We start from the raw sequence: 23,511 nt of genomic DNA on the forward strand, positions 1-23,511 counted from the left end.
GGAGACACAGGTGGGACATAGGTGAGCATAGCTAGGCACGTGAGCATGTAGAAGGAATGGGGTTTCCGATGCAGGAGAGGGCTTGGAGCCCACATTGCCCATGAGGTGAGCCACTGCCCAGAGCAAGGTATGCAGACATGCAGAGGGAATGGGGAGCTGGGGCACAGACTAATGACAGCTAGTGGGGCTAGACAAATGGGCATGCAGAGGGAAAGAAGCCATGGCATGGCAGAAGGCCCTGGAGCACAAAGTGCCTATGTCAGGAGTACCATGGGAAACAGATCTGGGATATGGATGTGCAAAGGGAGAAATAAGAGTGTCAGTGTGGAAAAGTAGGCTTGATCTTGTGGTGGTCTATATTGAAAGGGCAGCAGGAAACTAATCACCAGAACCATAAAGGGCTGTGAGATTGCTGAGGGCCTGTACATTCTGAATGGATGGCTGCAGATGCACACTACCCATACCACTGACCCACCATGCAGCAGCCAGAAACTGGAGAGCCCCTTCCTCCTGAAATGTCCCTTCAGCACCCTCTGCTGAGAAAACACAACATCATGCTCATTGTCAAGGAGAAATTCTTAAAAGGAATTTGGTCCATTTGAAGAGCATGTATTAAAAGGTAAATTTTGGAGCTAAGAGGCAATAAATTGAGAGCTGGGATATATGCCATTAAGATTTATAATTAATATCTGAATGACTACTCTCAGGTAAGCATTCTAGAAATAACTTTTAGTAAAATTCACTATGTGTAACATATGTTGAAATCGTATCAATCAAAATTTAATTGTATGTTTATTGTTGCAAGACTAAGAAATGATTGTACAATTTGTAATGGTTTATACAAAACAATTATTAAGAACTGTCAGTTTTTAATGTAAATAGTGAATATACTGACAGTCAATACCCTTTTTACCAGAGAGTTTGTTAGGCAGATAACTTTAGGAAGAATAAATCCTTTTTTAACAATAAAGGCTTATCAAAATTTAAACAATAAATCAAAAAACAGTATTTGTATATAAGCTTACATTGTAATTTTTGTAAAATGTTTGCTGTCTTAGCTTCAAAACATTAATCAAATAACCTCTCAGTATATATTTATTTTGTAGTCATTTAATTTTATTTAGACCATGAGTCCTACAAGAAAAAGTTCTATCTGGTAATTCTTCTCAAAATTATAACAATAAAATAAAAACAGAATTATCAACTTTGTTACCTCAAAATTTAATCAAAAAGAAAACATCCAAAAGTAAATTAATCTATTTTCAATTGTCTTCTACTAAACATAACACAGGATATAAACATAAATAAAATGTTAGAGAGACAGGTGGAAATTCAGAGACAACTTGTCATTTTGGAAGCCTGTACCATTGCTGTATTTTTAGATCCAAGGGTGGAAAGGTTAAAGATAATTTATTCTCAACTGATATTGTGAAGTAGCAGGTGTAGGCAACAATTTTAAATTTTAAATTGTTGCTTACACAACAATATTCAAAAAGAGCTATGTATTTTACATTAATGAAATTGTATCATCACTCCTTTTATATTACGTCAACAAACATTTTTATATGCCTTTTCTATTTTATGCTTTCTTAGTTTCAAGCTCACTTTTAATTTCCTTTCAGAAATAATTCTTTCCTATTTTCTTTTTTATAAAACACAGTAGTGAACTCCATGATAGAAATTGACTGTACCTTTAATCATGAATTTATTGGATTCAAAACCAAATTACATTATTGGTGCTATTTCTAATATGTACATTGAAATTACTGTATAATTTATTATTATTATTATTATTTTTACAGACAGGGTCTTATTCTGTTGCCCAGATTGGAGTGCAGTGGTGGAATCATAGCTCGCTGCAGACTCAAACTCCTAAGCTCAAGCAATTCTTCTGCCTTAGCCTCTTAAGTAGCTAAGTGCATGCCCCCATGCCTGGCTAAATGTTTTTTCTTTTTAACAGCTGGAATCTCACTATATTGTCTAGACAGGTCACAGACTCATGAGCTCAAGTAATCTCCCCACCTCAGCCTTCCAAAGTGTTGAGATTACAGGCATGAGCCACCACACCCAGCCTGCTTTTAAATAAATAGAAAATATGTTGGCAAAAATAGTCACATTTTATCCTAAAATTACTATACTGTATTTATACTTTGAAAAGTTCAACTAAAAAGCCAAAACATCAATTTTATAAACATTTATATAATATTAAGCATTGCAAGGTGATGTAGGAAATGCAAGGAAGAATAATATAGCACAATGCCCCACCCCTAAATTTCTCACAACCCATTGAGGAAAGATAGGCACAAATAAACTATTAAAAATATCAGAAAGCTTGGCATGACGATACATGCCTGTAGTCCCAGCTACTTGTGAGGCTGAGGAGGGAGGATTTATGGAGCCCAGGGCTTCAAGTCCAACCTGGGTAACATGGCAAGACTCTGCCTCTAAAATATAGGGTGTGTGTGTGTGTGTGTGTGTGTGTGTGTGTCAGAAAGACTGCAATAAATGCCACAGTGGACCTTCAGTAATTATATTCCTCCCATTTTAAGCAAACTGGTCTTTTATTTACAAAAATTTCTTTAAAGATAAGCTTTTGCTTATTAAGCACTTTGTAGCAGTCCTCAAGATTTGTATTCTATTACGTATGATATAGTAATTGTAACTTATTCTTGGAGTAACTTCAGTTCTCTTTATATTACTTTGTGGATTACCTACCCTTTTGAGTTTTAAGTAAATTTGGCATAAAACCATATTTCACAATGTCTGGGGTACAGGACCTTCTTACCATCTCTGGAAATTTTAGGACTTAATTCCTTATAATTCTGTTTTTATGGCCCAGTGAACCATTTTATTTTCTTCAGCCTCATCACTCCTCCTCCTCAAGTCAAAACCAACAAATAAACAGTTTGACCACAACTCGGTTGTACCATTTTGTGGCTTGCCTAAGAAATTCACTCACACCAAGCATATCATGGTTATATTCTTGCTAAAATGGTTAGGTGAGGTTTACAGTAAGGAGTAGGATGCAAATCAGGGTGCCTGCTGTTGTCCACAACTTCACTGCTGTCTTTTGCTTTCTCTTGGTGGTACTTTGTTCACTCTAACAGTTAGGATTAGGTTTGGGTGAGTATATCTGAAAACCCAGAAGAAAAGTGAATTTTAACTCATTCTCACACACACACAAAATCAGCAGTATAGGATCATAGTGTTGGCTCCACACTAGTGAAGAACCCATCTCCTTTCCATCCTCCTTTCCCACAATACACAGTACTTATCTTCTAACCTCAAAACCACATAAGACTGTAAAAATGGCTACTGAGGTTCCAGGGAGAAGAAAAAAGAGGTGGAAGGTGCAAAGTGCATCCTCTGCCAGCTGTCTGTCTCCACTTTGAGGAGTCTTCCCATATGACCGGCTCAGTGATGTCCAAACACAGGCAATGGTTACACCTGGCTATGACTGACCACTAGGTTTGTAGTCTTTTAGCTGGATGAATAGTCTTTTGAATAGAATTAAATTCTGATTACCGGAAATTGAAATGTAGTCAGTCTATCCTATTTACCATCCTGTTGTGATAAAAAGGGCGCATAAATAGAAAGGAATGTAAAGCATATGATAGAGAAAGGGTAGATTACTGGGAATAATAAAAAGAGATGAAGGAAAGTAAATATGGCCCTTGGAGAGTAGCATTGCAATGTAAAGAGAAATTAACTGAGGGATGAAGGTGAAGAGAATAGGATAAAAACAGAGGCTACACGTGCACAACGTGCAGGTTTGTTACATATGTATACATGTGCCATGTTGGTGTGCTGCACCCGTTAACTTGTCATTTACATTAGGTAAATCTCCTAATGCTATCCCTAGAAATTAAAGTATAATTTTAAAAAATGCAAAAATAAATAAATAAATAAAAATAAAATAAAAACAGAGGCAATTATTTATTCACCTTCTATTTACCAAACACTACACTTGGTTACTGAATGTACAATGGCAAACAAGAGAGATACAATCTCTGCCTCTATGAAATTCATATTCTAGTACTTTGAGAGCAATGAAAGCACAATGTGTCTAAATTGTTAGTTGGAGGACCAGCCACAGAATAAATTGGCCTCAATATTTTAAAATATTCACAACAAAGCAAAACAAATCCTCAAACTGTCACTAAAACTTTAGCAGAGGAAGAGACTTTAAAATTGCTAGTGGGAGCAATATGGTAAAGAAATCAGTATTGATTATTATTATTATTTTTAAAACAGAGTCTTACTCCAAGGCTAGAGTTCAGTGGCACAGTCTTGGCTCATTGCAACCTCTGCCTCCCAGGTTCCAGTGATCCTCCTGCCTCAGCCTCCTGGGTACCTGGGATTACAGGTATGCACCACCATGCCTAGCTAATTTTTGTATTTTTAGTAGAGATGGGGTTTCACCACATTGACAAGACTGGTCTCGAACTCCTGACCTCACATGACCTCCCCACCTCGGCCTCCCAAAGTGCTGGGATTACATGCATGAGCTACTGCATCCAGCTAATTATTACTGTTTTAAAATATGCAAAATATCATTGATGGTTTTAATTTTTGAATGCTGTTTGTATTTCAGTAAAAATTTTTAAAAGGAATTAACTATATTCATTTTACATGTATGTATATACACATAAATTGTACTTTTACACATATATATTTAAATGTACTAGGAACATTATTATAAGTTAAACCTATAAGGTAGGCACTAATAGTATCATGAAATTTTACAGATGACAATATTGAATAACAATTTATTGGGTAATAACTTTGCCCATGGTCACACAACCAATAAGTAACAAAGCTGAGATTCAATTCTGGAAGTCTGGTTCCAAAGTCTGTACTTGTAACCAACTCATTATGCTTCCCCTCCATTGCCTATTCATTGTCTCCTTTAACTTATTTTCCACTCCCATTACTTTAATTTTATTAGAAATAAATATTCTTTAACCTCAGGAACTATAAAGAGGCTATTCTCTAAACAAAATATTACAGCGAGATGAATGGATTAGGGAGAACAGTAAAGAGAACAAAGTTCCATTTGATGAGATCTGTCTAGTGTTCGGAAGAAGTGGCATTTAATATGGTATTGGAATGATAGGTGAAATTTTAATAGGAAATGTGGACAGAAGGACATTGCCTATAGGAAAGACAAATATTCTTAAAAAGCACTAAAGCCATTAATATCTACTATGTACTTTAATAAAATTGAATAGATAAATCACAGAAAGATAATCTCTGAAAAATCTCCAAAACTAGAAAATGTTCTTTATTACTATTGCCTTCTGTTTTTCAGTATAGTGGGATTTGAAGAAGCAACACTGTGAAACTAAAAGAGCACTGCAGTGCATGCCAAAAATCTACAATTTTTTGCTGGTTTCCTTCCGTTTACTAATTTTAGGAGTAATAGGAGAATAATAATGTCAATCTATGCTGCCTACCTCACAAGTTTCTTTTAAGAATTAAAAGAGATTTTAAGTACTTTGAAAACTATTAAGTACTATACAAATATATTAGGTTGTGATGATTAATCACTATTATACAGGAGCTCAGTAAATAATATTTACAGGATGGTTAAAATGCACTTCGTACTGAAAAATCCATCCAAGAAAAACTTCACAAAAATGCAGTAACAGATGTTCCTATTTAGTTAAAGGAGAGAATACTGTTAGGCCTTCAGCTTATAGCTTATACTTAAATTGTAACAACAACAGCTTGTTTAGGTTTGTCAGTTTTTTCTCTGTCGATTTTTAGCCAATATTATACCATAAAATCATCTCTTTCTTTAAATTAGACAGAAAGGTCTTATTCTGATGCGACTTTAAAAACTGATCCAAGGGGAAATTTAAGCATGCCTCCCAGGCAGCATAAAATTGAGCCAAAAATTCCAATTCCTATCAGGAATCTCTCATACAGACTCTATGCTATAAGAAAAGCAATGCAGTTTTCTGGACCACCACAAGATTTTCCCAGCCATGTTGCTATACCTGGTTCTATTAGCTCTAGGGAATGGACAAAAGGATTGCAAAATCAATGAAAAACTTTCAGTTTCTTACCTTCTTATTTCATATAAAAGCTACTCCTTGGTTGGTTTTACAGTCAAATGTATGAAGTATTATAAATCCCTACCGTTCTGTTGCATAAAAAGATAAATTCAGTTAACTTCTCTATTCTAGATTTCATTATTTTAGATTAGATACTTTGAGCCCTAATACTTGCTTTAACTAGGATAAAAATCATTGCTCTTCAGTTGTTTCATTCATAGTGGATTAACCATTCTACTTTATTTCTCATATTATATCTCTGATAGAGTATCAAACTGAGATATCAAATTACTATCTATCAATGTTCTGCTTTTAGAATCTATCAATCAGGGGGGTGGTTCCAAGATGGCCGAATAGGAACAACTCCAGTCTACAGCTCCCAGCATGAGCGACACAGAAGACAGGTGATTTCTGCATTTCCAAATGAGGTACTGGGTTCATCTCGCTGGGGTTCGTCAGACAGTGGGGACAGGACAGTGGGTGCAGCCCACCGAGCATAAGCCAAAGCAGGGTGAGGCATCGACTCACCTGGGAAGCGCAAGGGGTCAGGGAATTCCCTTTCCCAGCCAAAGGAAGGGGTGACAGACAGCACCTGAAAAATCGGGTCAATCCCACCCTAATACTGTGCTTTTCCAATGGTCGTAGCAAAGGGCACAAGAGGAGATTATATCCCATGCCTGGCTCGGAGGGTCCCATGCCTGGCTCGGAGGGTCCCATGCCCACGGAGCCTCGCTCATTCCTAGCACAGCAGTCTGAGATCGAATGGCAAGGTGGCAGCGAGGCTGGGGGAGGGGCGTCCAACATTGCTGAGGCTTGAGTAGGTAAACAGCAGCCAGGAAGCTTGTACTGGGTGGAGCCCACCTTAGCTCAAGGAGGACTGCCTGCCTCTGTAGACTCCACCTCTACGGGCAGGGCATAGCTGAACAAAAGGCAGCAGGAACCTCTGCAGACTTAACTGTCCCTGTCTGACAGCTTTGAAGAGAGTAGTGGTTCTCCCAGCATGGAGTTTGAGATCACGGAATGGACAGACTGCCTCCCCAAGTGGGTCCCTGACCCCCGAGTAGCCTATCTGGGAGGCACCCCCAGTAGGCGCAGACTGACACCTCACACGGCTGGGTACTACTCTGAGACAAAGCTTCCAGAGGAACAATCGGGCAGCAACATTTGCTATTCAGCAATATTCGCTGTTCTGCAGCCTCTGCTACTGATCCCCAGGCAAATAGAGCCTGGAGTGGACCTCCAGCAAACTCCAACAGACCTGCAGCTGAGGGTCCTGTCTGATAGAAGGAAAACTAACAAACAGAAAGGACATCCACACCAAAACCCCATCTGAACGTCACCATCATCAAAGATCAAAGGTAGATAAAACCACAAAGATGGGGAAAAAAACAGAGTAGAAAAGCCGAAAATTCTAAAAATCAGAGCACCTCCTCCCCTGCAAAGGAACACAGCTCCTCACCAGCAATGGAACAAAGCTGGGTGGAGAATGGTTTTGATGAGTTGAGAGAAGAAGTCTTCAGACGATCAAACTTCTCCGAGGTAAAGGAAGAAAGTCGAACCCAACCCAAAGAAGCTGAAAACCTTGAAACAAGATTAGATGAATGGCTAACTAGAATAACCAGTGTAGAGAAGTCCTTAAATGACCTGATGGAACTGAAAGCCATGGCATGAGAACTACATGACAAATGTACAAGCTTCAGTAACCGATTCGATCAACTGGAAGAAAGGGTATCAGTGATTGAAGATCAAATGAATGAAATGAAGTGAGAAGAGAAGTTTAGAGAAAAAAAGGGTAAAAAGAAATGAACAAAGCCTCCAAGAAATACACGACTATGTATAGACCAAATCTATATCTGATCGGTGTACCTGAAAGTGATGGGGAGAATGGAACCAAACTGGAAAACACTCTGCAGGATATTATCCAGGAGAACTTCCCCAACCTAGCAAGGCAGGCCAACATTCAAATTCAGGACATACAGAGACCACCACAAAGATACTCCTCAACAAGAGCAACTCCAAGACACATAATTGTCAGTTTCACCAAAGTTCAAATGAAAGAAAAAATATTAAGGGCAGCCAGAGAGAAAGATCGAGTTACCCACAAATGGAAGTCCATCAGACTAACAGCGGATAACTCAGCAGAAACTCTACAAGCCAGAAGAGAGTGGGGGCCAATATACAACGTTCTTAAAGAAAAGAATTTTCAACCTAGAAATTCATATCCAGCCAAACTAAGCTTCATAAGTGAAGGAGAAATAAAATCCTTTACAGACAAGCAAATGCTGAGAGATTCTGTCACCACCAGGCCTGCCCTAAAAGAGCTCCTGAAAGAAGCACTAAACATGGAAAGGAACAACCGGTACCAGCCACTGCAAAAACATGCCGAACTGTAAAGAACATCGATGCTAGGAAGAAACTGCATCAATAACGAGCAAAATAACCAGCTAACATCAGAATGACAGGATCAAATTCACACATAACAATATTAACCTTAAATGTAAATGGGCTAAATGCTCCAATTAAAAGACACAGACTGACAAACTGGATAAAGAGTCAAGACCCATCAGTGTGCTGTATTCAGGACACCCATCTCACATGCAGAGACACACAGAGGCTCAAAATAAAGGGATGGAGGAAGATCTATGAAGAAAATGGAAAACAAAAAAAGGCAGGGGTTGCAATCCTAGTTTCTGATAAAACAGACTTTAAAACAACAAAGATCAAAAGACACAAAGAAGGCCATTACATAATGGTAAAGGGATCAATTCAACAAGAAGAGCTAACTGTCTTAAATATATATGCACCCAATACAGGAGCACCCAGGTTCATAAAGCAAGTCCTTAGAGACCTACAAAGAGACTTAGACTCCCACACAATAATAATGGAAGACTTTAACACCCCACTGTCAACATTAGACAGATCAACGAGACAGAAAGTTAACAAGGATATCCAGGAATTGAACTCAGCTCTGCAACAAGTGGACCTAATAGACATCTGCAGAATGCTCCACCCCAAATCAACAGAATATACATTCTTCTCAGCACCACATCACACTTATTCCAAAATTGACCACAGAGTTGGAAGTAAAGCACTTCTCAGCAAATGTAAAAGAACAGAAATTATAACAAACTGTCTCTCAGACCACAGTGCAATCAAACTAGAACTCAGGATTAAGAAACTCACTCAAAACTGCTCAACTACATGGAACCTGAACAACCTGCTCCTGAATGACTACTGGGTACATAAGGAAATGAAGGCAGAAATAAAGATGTTCTTTGAAACCAACGAGAACAAAGACACAACATACCAGAATCTCTGGGACACATTTAAAGCAGTGGGTAGAGGGAAATTTATAGCACTAAATGCCCACAAGAGAAAGCGGCAAAGATCTAAAATTGACACCCTAACATCAAAATTAAAAGAACTAGAGAAGCAAGAGCAAACACATTCAAAAGCTAGCAGAAGGCAAGAAATAACTAAGATCAGAGAAGAACTGAAGGAGATAGAGACACAAAAAAACCCTTCAAAAAAATCAATGAATCCAGGAGCTGGTCTTTTGAAAAGATCAAGAAAATTGATAGACCGCTAGCAAGACTAATGAAGAAAAGAGAGAAGAATCAAATAGATGCAATAAAAAACGATAAAGGAGATATCACCACTGATCCCACAGAAATACAAACTACCATCAGAGAATACTATAAACACCTCTACGCAAATAAACTAGAAAATCTAGAAGAAATGGCTAAATTCCTGGACACATACACCCTCCCAAGACTAAACCAGGAAGAAGTTGAATCCCTTAATAGACCAATAACAGGCTCTGAAATTGAGGCAATAATTAATAGCCTACCAACCAAAAAAAGTCCAGGACCAGATGGATTCACAGCCGAATTCTACCAGAGGTACAAGAAGGAGCTCATAACCAATCCTTCTGAAACTATTCCAATCAATAGAAAAAGAAGAAATCCTCCCTAACTCATTTTATGAGGCCATCATCATCCTGATACTAAAGCCTGGAAAAGACACAACAAAAAAAGAGAATTTTAGACCAATATCCCTGATGAACATCAATGCAAAAATCATGAATAAAATACTGGCAAACCAAATCCACCAGCACATCAAAAAGCTTATCCACCATGATCAAGTGGGCTTCATCCCTGGGATGCAAGTCTGGTTCAACATAGGCAAATCAATAAACGTAATCCAGCATATAAACAGAACCAAAGAAAAAAACCACAGGATTATCTCAATAGATGCAGAAGAGGCCTTTGACAAAATTCAACAGCCCTTCATGCTAAAAACTCTCAAGAAATTAGGTATTGATAGGCCGTATCTTAAAATAATAAGAGCTATTTATAACAAACCCACAGCCAATATCATACTGAATGGGTGAAAACTGGAAGCATTCCCTTTGAAAACTGGCACAAGACAGGTTGCCCTCTCTCACCACTCCTATTCAGCATAGTGTTGGAAGTTCTGGCCAGGGCAATCAGGCAGGAGAAATCAATAAAGGGTATTCAATTAGGAAAAGAGGAAGTCAAATTGTCCCTGTTTGCAGATGACATGATTGTATATTTAGAAAAGCCCATCATCTCAGCCCAAAATCTCCTTAAGCTGATAAGCAACTTCAGCAAAGTCTCAGGATACAAAATCAATGTGCAAAAATCACAAGCATTCTTATACACCAATAACAGACAGAGAGCCATATCATGAGTGAACTCCCATTCACAATTGCTTCAAAGAGAATAAAACACCTAGGAATCCAACTTACAAGGGATGTGAAGAACCTCTTCAAGGAGAACTACAAACCACTGCTCAACGAAATAAAAGAGGACACAAACAAATGGAAGAACATTCCATGCTCATGGATAGGAAGAATCAATATTGTGAAAATGGCGATACTGACCAAGGTAATTTACACATTCAATGCCATCCCCATCAAGCTACCAATGACTTTCTTCACAGAATTCAAAAAAAACTACTTTAAAGTTCATGTGAAACGAAAAAAGCGCCTGCATTGCCAAGACAATCCTAAGCCAAAAGAAGAAAGCTAGAGGCATCATGCTACCTGACTTCAAACTTTACTACAAGCCTCCAGTAACCAAAACCACATGGTACTGGTACCAAAACACAGATATAGACCAATGGAACAGAAGAGAGCCATCAGAAATAATATCACACATCTACAACCATCTGATCTTTGACAAACCTGACAAAAACAAGAAATGGGGAAAGGATTCCCTATTTAATAAATGGTGCTGGGAAAACCGGCTAGCCATATGTAGAAAGTTGAAACTGGATCCCTTCCTTACACCTTATACAAAAATTAATTCAAGATGGATTAAAGACTTCAATGTTAGACCTAAAACCATAAAAACCCTAGAAGAAAACCTAGGCAATACCATTCAGGACATAGGCATGGGCAAGGACTTCATGTCTAAAACATCAAAAGCAATGGCAACAAAAGCCAAAATTCACAAATTGGATCTAATTAAATTAAAGAGCTTCTGCACAGTGAAAGAAACTACCATCAGAGTGAACAGGCAACCTACAGAATGGGAGAAAATTTTTGCAATCTACTCATCTGACAAAGGGCTAATATCCAGAATCTACAAAGAACTCAAACAAATTTACAAGAAAAAACAACCGCATCAAAAAGTGGCCAAAGGATATGAACAGCCACTTCTCAAAGAAGACATTTATGCAGCCAACAGACACATGAAAAAATGTTCATCATCACTGGCCATCAGAGAAATGCAAATCAAAACCAAGATGAGATAACATCTCACACCAGTTAGAATGGCGATCATTAAAAAGTCAGGAAACAATAGGTGCTGGAGAGGATTTCGAGAAATAGGAACACTTTTACACTGTTGGTGGCACTGTAAACTAGTTCAACCATTGTGGAAGACAGTGTGGCAATTCCTCAAGGATCTAGAACTAGAAATACCATTTGACCCAGCAATCCCATTACTGGGTATATACCCAAAGGATTATAAATCATGCTGCTATCAAGGCACATTCACATATATGTTTACTGCGGCACTATTCACAATAGCAAAGACTTGGAATCAATCCAAATGTCCATCAGTGATAGACTGGATTAAGAAAATGTGGCACATACCCCATGGAATACTATGCAGCTATAAAAAAGGATGAGTTCACATCCTTTGTAGAGACGTGGATGAAGCTGGAAACCATCATTCTCAGTAAACTATCACAAGGACAAAAAACCAAACACCGCATGTTCTCACTCATAGGTGGGAACAATGCGAACACTTGGACACAGGAAGCGGAACATCACACACTGCGGCCAGTCATGGGGTGGGGGGAGAGGGGAGGGAAAGCATTAGGAGACATACCTAATGTAAATGACGAGTTAATGGGGGCAGCACACCAACATGGCACATGTATACATATGTAACAAACCTGCACGTTGTACACATGTACCCTAGAACTTAAAGTATAATTAAAAAAAAAAAAAGAAAAAGAAAAAGGAAATCAGAAAGTATCTGGAACCAAATAAAAATAAAAACACTCAGCCTAGGCAACAACAACAACAAAAAAGAATCTATCAATCAGCCAAAAATGAAGATTATATGCTATATCTGTGGCCTATTCCTTATTTATAAAATTAAAATTTAATTGCATTAAATTAGGTCTAAAATAATAGAACATCTCCATAGTTTGGAATATTTTCTAAGTGTAAAAAATTCTACTTTTTACTAAAAGACTATTTGTTACTTTTTCTAAACCAAAGTTTCTTGATTCACTTTCAAATTGCCTTAGCCAATTATTTATAACATTTCACTATTAGAGATCTGAATATGGTGTTTATCTTGCTATAGTAATGCTGTGATATTGAATATGGGAAAAAATCACTAAGGGAATTAAGACACCAAGATACAGTGCCAAAAAAACTTTCCTTCGTCATTTCTGAATATTTTTTGTCCCAAATGAAACAAGTATAAATGGTAGTAGTAAAAAAGAAAAAAAAGTAGAAAAGTATAGTTCTATATTGAATCAGTAGGAATACAGCAGAAACTTGACTCTGGGATATTTTGCCCTATTATTCAATGATACATGTTGCTTAATATTACTATAGTATTACAAAGAAAAAAAACACTAAAAATTAACATAGAAAATAATATTTATATAAGTTTGGTCTTATAATCAATTGGAAATGATTAAAGAGAACTATATAATGAGTTAATCTATGCATGAATTCTTGTTAGATGTTTTAGTCTGTTCTCATACTGCTAATAAAGATGTACCTGAGACTGAGAAGTCTTATGAGAATTACATCTATAATTTCTGGCAAAATTTAATCTTTCTGTATCTCTTCAAAGAACCACCAACTATAAAAGTGTTTTTAAAGAATTCTGCCTGAGATGCTTTTGAGCTTTCTAATTAAAGATAAAATGTTTTACATGTGAAAAGATAGAGGTGCTACAATTTTCTTATACTTTTCTGTACCTTGCCTAGATAACAAAAATATATATCTTTTAAAATAAAAGCAGCATAATTTTACTAGTCTTTCAAGTATGTTATAATTGTACTGTCATATAATATTTTTCCAGTAAGAAATTTTTGATAATAGAAATTAAATGAAAACCAAATTTGGCATATATTTAAAAACTGTTCACCTAGAAGTATATATACCCTAGACAGTAGGTATTGTGAAATGCAATAACAATTCCAAGTCATTTTAATATATTATAAAGATGTACTAAGTCAAAACACGAGAAAGTAATTACAGTCTATTTTTATTAGAGGGTTTCCCTTTACAGTGTCGTACCACTTACTTTTACCACCATTAAAAGAATGATTTCATGTCATTGATATAAGTTTCCCCAAGCATCTTCTATTTCAAATTATACAATAATTTGTAGTAAAATATAATTGTATATACGTTTGTGTTCATACAATGAAGAAGGTGATGACTAGAATAGGAGATTGGATCTCTTTAAAAGTTTTGTTCAAATGTTATAGTGGTTATGACAGAAAGATAAATGTGAAGAAGAAAATGGAAGAAGATAAAAGTAAAACATGTATCAGGATATAAAAAATAAAACACAAGAACAAAACAAAAACAACAACAAAAATATCTTCGTTCCCACCTGGCTCCAGACCTCCGATAACTGCTTTAGGTTATAGAAATACTTTGATTAGCTGCTTAGAGTTGGAAAGAGAAAACTCAATAGGCATAATCTTTATGAAGACCATAAAAAGAAGACATGGCAAAAAAAAAACTATATGAGTTTAAGAGGGATGTGTGGAGTATGAGAATCAGCAGGGAGAGTAAGGAGTGAAGCTCCAAGAAAGGAGCTACTCAACTTAGTGTCGGTGAGAGTTGCTACCATAGCTGTGGCTAAAGAATCAAATAACGTTTAAGAACACAGGTGTCTAATATTCAATTTTTAAAAATCAACTCTGAGCTATGATTTACACACAATAAAACATTTGCCACTTTAATAAGTTTTGACAAGCTTATATATAACAATCAAGATATAGAATATTTCTACCACCCCAAAAAAGTTTCCTTGTGTCACTTTCTAGCCAATCACCCTTTCCCTGCCATAGACATGAGTTTGCCAATTAAAAAAAAAAAAATCTTACCAGGATTTGGATTCAAATTGCTTTGAATTTAGAATAGAATTTTCATTTTAATAATATTATGCTTTCCAATGTATAACATGGTATATCTCTCAATTAATTTACTTTCTTAATTTTTTTCAGTGATCTTCTTTAGTTTTTATTGTTCAGATTTTGTATATTTTTCATTAAGTTCTACTCTAAAGAGTCGACATTTTTGATGTTGTCATAAGTCACATTTTAAATTTCAGTTTTCAGTCTTTGCATTGCTAGCAAGTTCAAATGCAGTAGCTCTCCCTTAGTGCAGTTTCACTTTCTGTGGTTGCAGTCACTTGCAGTCAAGTGTAGTCTGAAAATATTACATGAAAATTTTCAGAAATAAACAACGCATCCATTCTAAATTATACACTGTTCGGAGTAGGGTGAAAGAGTTTAAAGAACTCTGCATGAAATCTCATACCATCCTGCTCCATTCCAGGGTAGGTGAATCATCTCTTTGTCCAATGCATTCATGCTATACAGGCTAATATGCCACTCACCTGTTGGTCACTTAGTAACCATCTCTTTGTCCAATGCATTCATGCTACACAGGCTAATATGCCACTCACCTGTTGGTCACTTAGTAACCATCTCAGTTATCAAATTGACTATGGCAGCATTGCTCTACTTTATTATTAACTATTGTTGTTAATCTCTTACTGTGGAAATTTATAAATTAAACTATATATAGGTATGTATCTATAGGAAAAAACATAGTATAGTATAGGTACATTCCAGTACTGCCCATGGTTTCAGGCATCCACTGGAGGTTTTGGAACGTATCTTCCTGGATTAGAGGAGACTACTGTATTCCGATGTTTTATTTGACCTTTCATCCTGTGAACCTGTGGAATTTACTAATTAGTTCTAGCAGCTTCTTTTTAGATCTCTTGAGATTTACTACATACAAAATCGTATCATGTGCAAATAAAGACAGTTTAATCATCCTGTGAATATTTCGTACTTTTTTTTTCTTTTGTGCCTGGGTTAGACCCTCACATAAAACGATGGATAACAATGGTGAGAGTGGGCATTCCTGCCATATTCCCAATTTATCATATTGAGGAAGACTACTTCTATTCCTAATTTGCTGAGAATTTTTAATATTAATCAGAGTTGAATTCTGTTAAATGCCTTTTTCGCCCCTATGCTCATCGGTTTTTATTTTCTTTTACTCCATTAGTATGTTAAATTGCATTGATTTATTTTCAATTGTTAAACAACCTCACATTTCAGGGATCCATGACTTGATGTGAATATATTTAACCTTTTTATATTAAGCTAAATTCAACTTGATATTTTGTTAAAGATTTTGTGTCTGTTCGTGAGAGATACTAATTTGTAGTTTTCTTATATTGTAATCTATCTGTATGGCTTTATTATTCAGGAAATGCTGGCCTCATTAAAAGGTTAAGTAATATTTTCTTCTTTGTCATTTATAAAAAATTAGTAGAATCTCTATTTTTTGCTTCTTAAATGTTTATGCTTGATATGTTCTTATCAGATAACTTTTAATGAAGAATTCAATTTATTTGGTAAATACAGAACTGAACTACTCAGATTTTCTAATTTTTTTGAGATAGCTCAGTAACTTATGTATCTTGACGAATTTAGCTATTTTATATAAGCTGTCAAATTCTTTGGCAACTAGATATTGACATATAGCTATTCCTAATATTCATTCTTATCTTTTTAATTATATTTTTAATTTTTCTGGGTACATAGTAGGTGTATAGATTTATGGGGTACATAACACAGTTTGATGCAAACACACAATGTGTAATAATCACATCAGAGTAAGTGGAGTATCCATCACCTCAAGCATTTATCCTTTCTTTTTGTTACAAACAATCCAATTAGACTCTTAGTTATTTTAAAAGTGTACAATACATTATTGTTGACTATGATCACCTCGTTGTGCTATCAAAAACTAGATCTTTTCTATCTAACTGTATTTCTGTACCCATTAACCATCCCCGCTTCCCCTATGACCCACTACCCTTCCCAGCCTCTGGTAACCATCATTCTACTCTCTATTTCTATGAATTCAATTGTTTTAATGTTTAGCTCCCACAAATAAGTGACAACATGCAGTCTGTCTTTCTTTGCCTGGCTTATTTCACTTAACATAATGTTCTCTAGCTCCATTCATGTTGTTGCAAATGACAAGATCTCATTCTTTTTCATGGCTGAGTAGTACTCCATCAGGTACATGTACCACATTTTCTTTATCCATTCATCTGTTGATGGACACATAGGTTCCTTCCAAATCTTGGCTATTGTGAACAGTGCTGCCATAAACATCACAGTACAGATATCTCTTTGATATAATGATTTCCTTTCTTTTGGGTATATATCCAGCAGTGGGACTGCTAGATCATATAGTAGTTCTATTTTCAGTTTTTTAAGGAACCTCCAAACTGTTCTCCATAGTAGCTATACTAATTTATATTCCCACCAACAGTGTACAAGGGTTCCCTTTTCTCTATATCCTTGCTAGCATTCTTGCTTTTTTAATGTGTGCAGAACATATAAGATGCCCACTTTTTAATTCCTGATATTATATAGTTTTTGTTAATTCAATTTTAAAATATTTATTGTTATACAGAAATACAGACATGTTTTGTTCGATATATCCTTTGTATCTTTTTAGTGTGTGTCTTCTTCTTGTCTTGAACGTAAATAAAGAATTAACAATTTTACTAACTCTTAAAAATAATTAGTCTTTCATTTTATTTTTCAGTATCACTTTTTGTTCCATTGGGTTTCAAACTTTTTTTTTCTTTTCTAATACAAATGTTAAAAACTGATGATATGCAGAATGGTACATGGGAAAATCACTGATTTTGAAGTTAAGACAGACCCAGGTTCCAAGCTTGATATTACTAGTTTATAGCTATGTTACTATTTCTTGCTTTCTTCATCATAAAATGGAGAAAATGTTACCTTTCTCATAGGATAGTTGGGGAAATTAAGAGAAAAAAAGAGGTATACCTAGCTTCTTAGTTATTTTGATTATGGTATTCAAATAAAATGTGCCTCATCAAAAACTAAAATACTCATATATCAATTTTCTTAATTTTTATACTAATAAAAATATAATGAAGGAGAAATTATAACTAATATAGCATTCGCAATATGCAGGTGTTTCATCACCTAGAACATAACATTTTCTAAAGCCAAACATAAAAAAGTTAAGAGTAATTTCAGTCTATTTCAAGACTTCTCTCCTTTTGCCTCTTGGTTTCCATTAACTAGGGAAAATCAATTTACAATTGTTATAGTCTTTTCTTCGATCTACATTTTACATCATCACATCTATCAGTGATAAACTGTAAGTGCCATACACTTACTATATTCAAATTTTATTAATTCTCAAATTCTGAAAATACAAATGATTATATACGAACTATTTATATAAAAACTAAAATTAAGTCTCAGTTTTAAGACTGACTGAATGAAAACTTTTACAAACATTTTATAAGGCTTGTTAGATGTCATAATTCTCTAATGTGTTTCTCTCCTAAACTACTAATAAAGACCATCGTGGAAAACGTCAGCCAACTTACTGTACAAAGCGGGCTAGGCCTGTACCCATTACACTAAGATACTGAACTTTGCAAAGACAGCAAGCAATCTTTTCTGATCTCCTTGCAAATTTTCTTTCTTTTTAGTCTTCTCTCCTTTTGCCGCTAAAAATGTAAACATTTCAGATCATTAAAGAAATAACTGATATTCCACTTAAATGATGGCACCTAATCCATGAAAGGAGGCCTTACATGAAAAGTTTAAACAACAAAAAAAAATTTACATAATTATCAGCCTTTACAGTAACTTGTGACTTTGCATTTATGTCTCTATTTGCTTTTAGTCTGTAACTCCCACTAGTTGTAAACCCATGTAGGCGGGGATCTTTTCTGCTTTTGCTCACGATTACATCTGGAACAACGGCACATCTGGAGCAAAGTGCTCAGTGCATTATTTCCCTATCATTTCTATTTACTTTGCATGATGAGATTTTTGCCTTTTCCAGAGATCCCTTATCTTTGAAAAATAAAATATTGCCAATTGTGTGAGTGTTCTATTGATGCTGTAAGAAATTACCACAAATTTGCTGGCTTAAAATAACACAAATTTATTATCTCAAAGTTGTTTAAGTCAGAATCTGGTGATCTCAGCTTGTTTCTCTGCCTGTGTCTCACAAGGCCAAAATGAAAGTGTCTGCAGGTCTTTGTTCCTTTTCTGGATTCTAGAAGAGAATGTGTTTGAAGTGACATTCAAATTTTTGCCAGGATTGAGTTCCATGAAGACATAGGAGCCCTAATTTTCCTGGTAGCTGTTGGCCAGCAGTCATTCTCAGCTTCTAGAGGCTGCCCTCATTGCTTTGATCTTGACTCCCCTCCTCCCTCCTCGAGGCCATCAAGGAAAGGTCAAGCTTCTCTCGTGTTTTCAATCTTTCCTCTACTTCCCTCTTCTGTTGCATCTCTCTCACTGCTCTTCTACCTTCCTCTTCTAATTTTCAGTGTCCATGTGATTAGATTGGGCCCACCTGAATAGTCCAGGTTAATCGCCCTATTTTAAGCACAGCTGGTGAGCAACTTTTTATTACATCTGTAAAACCCTTTGCCACATAACATTAATATATTTACAGGTTCCAGGGATATGAACATGGAGGTTGAGGGGGACCATTCTTTCTACAAAACCAAAAGCTTATAGCATTCAGTTTTTCAGCATTCCTAATATTCCATCAGTTACGCAAATTCTACCAAACTTTTGCATACTCTCTAAGTAATCCTGGGAGTTCAGTTTATGTCCCTACTCTGAAAAAGCAAAGCAGACTTCTGAAGGTGTGTTTTCATTATTTCTTACTGACATAGGTTCATTTGAATTTGTATTTAATAAAACCTTGTGGGTAAGGTATGAGAGCTTTTTGGAAAAGGTGCAATGAGATGGAAAACTGTCTTTTTGAACTTTTTCCCACACTAAAAAAAATATATTGTATAGTTCAAACATATAGGAATTGTTACAATCTCTGAAAGCATGTACCCTGCAATGAATTTAATTTAATTTCTACAAAACAACTTGACTGGAAAACACAGTTCAGGAGGCCATGCTGAACAATGAATTTCATTTATAGTGAAATAAAATTGCTACGAGTATGACTATAATCTGTACTTCATATATGACACTGATGTTACAATTTTTTGTAACATCATTTTTCTGCCTAGCACTAAATGAAATTTTAAAGTTGTCAAAGTCAGAAATACTTTAGAATACAAATAATCCCTGTGAAATATAGTTTATATATTAAAGTCACATTGAAGTCTCAAGCTGATAAGTTTTCCTTACAAATTTTTTACAAATATAGCAGTGTTATTTTTTTCTCATTGTATTCAATTTTGATTAACAAAGATTAGGCAAACTTCAATACCTCTACTATTATCAGGATTATTATTACATATATAGAACTGTTTTGAAGTTAATGACACAGTAATCATATAAAAACTATTTTATGATGATCTCAATATACAGGAGCCTATTTTTTCTGCAAATATACATATGATGCATCTAGAACCAAGCATAACAAATAAAAAAAAAAGTACGTTGATGAAACCACCATAGCTATTCAAGCTAATGAAAACTGAGGAGAAACAACATTTCCCAAATGATTATAGCAAAAGGAAAAAAAATTACATTGGTAGAAGAATGCTCAATACCAGCCTAAGCTGCAAGATGACAAATAAATAATATGAAAGACAAAGAGATCTTGAAAACAGGTAGAGAAAAGACAAATCACCTGTAAAGAGATGACAATTAAAGTGTAAAAATGGAAGTGATAATGGAAGTCTGAAATCAGTGGAATGACTCTTTAAAGTGCTAAGAAAACTTAAACATTAAATAGAGTGATAAAGCCAGCAAAACCATATTGCAAGTATAAGGATGAAATTAAGATTTTTTATGTTTAAAAAGCTATAGTATATACTATATAGTTCTAGCTATCTCAAATTTAAATTGTCCAAAAATAAGCTCCTGATAATCCCTCAAAAATCAGCACCTCTTAACGTTTTTCTCTATCTCAGATAATGGCAAATCTCCCCTGCTAGGGAGACACTAAAACTTTAATTAATCCTTGACTTCTCCCTTTTCTCAGTCTAATCAGAACCATTGGCATATACTCCGTGCTTTACCTTTCAAAAAATACTGACTGTAACACTTCTCACCACCCTCACTGCCAGCACTCTACTTGAAGCCACCATCATCTCTCACTGTTATGACAATAGCCTATATTAATTGCTTCTACTGTTGATCACCTCAGTCTATAATCTATAGTAACCAGAGTGACTTGGCCAAAACATAAATCAGATCTTATCAATGGTCTACTCAAAACCCTCTAAAAGCCTTCCATCCCACTGTGAAGCAAGGCCTACCAAGTCATACAATATCTAGATATACATTACATGTCTAGGCACATCTAATCTCCAAATCTCCTTTCTGTTGTAACTTTACTAGCTTCCTTGCTATATTATCTTGAACTTGCCAGACCTTCTTGCAATACCTGTTCTCTTTGCAGTGCTTTTTCATCATATACCTGCATATCCCCTCAATTCTTTTGGTCTTCATTCAAAAGTCACTTTCCTGGCTGGGCACAGTGGCTCACGTCTGTAATCGCAGCACTTTGGTAGGCCCAGGCTGGCAGATTGCATGAGGTCAGGAGTTCGAGACCAGCCTGGCCAACATGGTGAGACCCCCATCTCTACTAATAATACAAAAATTAGCCAGGCTTGGTGGGGAGTCACCTGTAATCCCAGCTGCTTGGGACGCTGAGGCAGGAGAATCACTGGAACCTGGGAGACAGAGGTTGCAGTAAGCCAAGATCATGCCACTGCACTCCAGCCTGGGCGACACCATCTCAAAAAAAAAGTCACTTTCGCAGTAAGACTTTCCTTGCCTACCTTACCTAAAATCGTCATTTAATCTGTTCCATTTTCACATTTTTCTGCTTTATTTTTTCTGCTAACAACTATGTAACATACTACATACTATGTATTTTATATTTTATTGTGTTTTTTGCCTATCTCTCAGAATTTTAGCACCATGAAAGCAGGGATTTATATATATAAAATTAGAGTTTTATATATACACACACACACACACACACACACACACACACAGAGAAATAGCATACATATAAATTATTAAAGTTACATATGCATATATCTATGTGTATATTTACATGCACTTACATACATATAAAACTTCATGCCCAGTACACAATATGTACAGCTTTGAATGAATGAGTGAATAAGAGTGCTTATTACTAAAATCTTTTACCAAAGGGGTTTCTAAAAGATATATTTCAAGAATGAAAATGACCCTAGAAAGGTCTGAATGCAAAAAGAAACAATAAATGAAGAAAATAATAAATATACATGAATCTAAACAGCAATATATTATATAAAATAATTTATAAGATCAAGTAAAAGTAAAGCTAAAGCACTGTTCAGTCAAAGAACATGGATATTGATGAAATACAAACTCTATTATGTGTGCATGTAGCAACACCAATAGTATTTACTAAAAAAGCAAAAGTAGAGTTTATATGTCCCAAATCAGTAAAGCAAACAGGTGAAATAGGGGTGGAGATGTAGAATTGTGGCTAAGACCTGAATCATTTCAATAAAAAGAAAGAGATATACACTAATAATTCATATACTTTTCCATATATATTTTAATGCAATAATTTTTTATTTTAAAAAATGCATGGCTTGGAGGTTGTTGATTGTAACTAATAGGTAAAGCCACAAAGCTTCATAGCAATATAAAATTTGAGCTCTTCTCTGTTATTGCTTTGTAATATATTTATCATTAAAAGTTACATATAAAATAACATTCCCCAAATGCTATACTTTAAGGGATGGCTATATTGAATCTAAGTTAGTATAATTTTTCTTTATGTGTAAAAAAGACTTTTAAAATATATTTTCAATATCTTTGCATTTCTTAGAATTTCACATTTTATTACATTTCCTCTAAATGCAAATCCCTCTCTTAGTGAAGAATAAACTACCCATATAATCTCAAGTTCAGACAATGAAAGCTTCTAACAAAACAGAATGATGTCTTAAGTTATAGAGAACTGTAATGTATTCAGGTAACCAATGCTGACTCTACAAAGTATGCTACTAAAATCAATTTTTATCACTTGAAATCTATTGCAATTAGAGTGCAATGCCAAGTCACTGACACACTAATGGGTTTTAAAATATTTCAAAAAGAATAAGAAAATTGCAAAGTGTTTTAATTGAAATGAAGCTCCAATAAGTATAACAAATTGGATAATATGAGCCTTCTCTAAAGCTACCATATGAAACTACCATACCATAGAGTGTTGAGTTTTAATAAATGTGCAGCATTGTCTAGCTGCACTTTATATAACAATTATCCTATATTTAACTATTTTAAAACCTTTATTATAGCTTCTACTATAAAAGAAGTTCTTTCTGTGTTCCAAGTGTTTGATTTTTAATTTCACTTTAGAACAATAGTGCAGTTTTTCCAAAGATTGGCTCTACAAAATTAGACGTGGCTTGCTTGAAAAGAATATTATATCTAACTGGAACATATTTTTGTTTAATTCAACTACAACAGTGCACTACATGGAAATGATTAAACTTAAATTAGAAACCAGGTTTTGTAATTCCTTGACTAAATTAATGGTTGCAAAAATGATAATTTCTGGCCACAAAGCTTGTAATAATACACAGAAAAAAAATACAGCCACTATAATAATGACAATCTTCAGTTTTTGTATCTCACC

The 23,511-nt window shown here is 35.3% G+C and overlaps 1 protein-coding gene across 7 annotated transcripts in view, besides 1 other annotated feature; it reads right to left on the reverse strand.

Annotated features, from left to right (window-relative positions):
- STPG2 (sperm tail PG-rich repeat containing 2) overlaps window positions 1–23,511 on the reverse strand; it is a 702,228-nt gene that overhangs the window by 330,290 nt on the left and 348,427 nt on the right. The gene's annotated exons all lie outside the window — the stretch shown is intronic.
- Window positions 6,413–6,913: an enhancer, noted in NCBI's record as "H3K27ac hESC enhancer chr4:98699102-98699602 (GRCh37/hg19 assembly coordinates)". NCBI's record gives its function as "activates a minimal SCP1, AML or CMV promoter by ChIP-STARR-seq in naive H9 embryonic stem cells {active_cell/tissue: H9 hESC(naive)}" and the evidence as "EXISTENCE:reporter gene assay evidence [ECO:0000049][PMID:30033119]".

The sequence above is a fragment of the Homo sapiens genome, chromosome 4 (assembly GCF_000001405.40).
Source record: "Homo sapiens chromosome 4, GRCh38.p14 Primary Assembly".
NCBI lineage: Eukaryota > Metazoa > Chordata > Mammalia > Primates > Hominidae > Homo > Homo sapiens.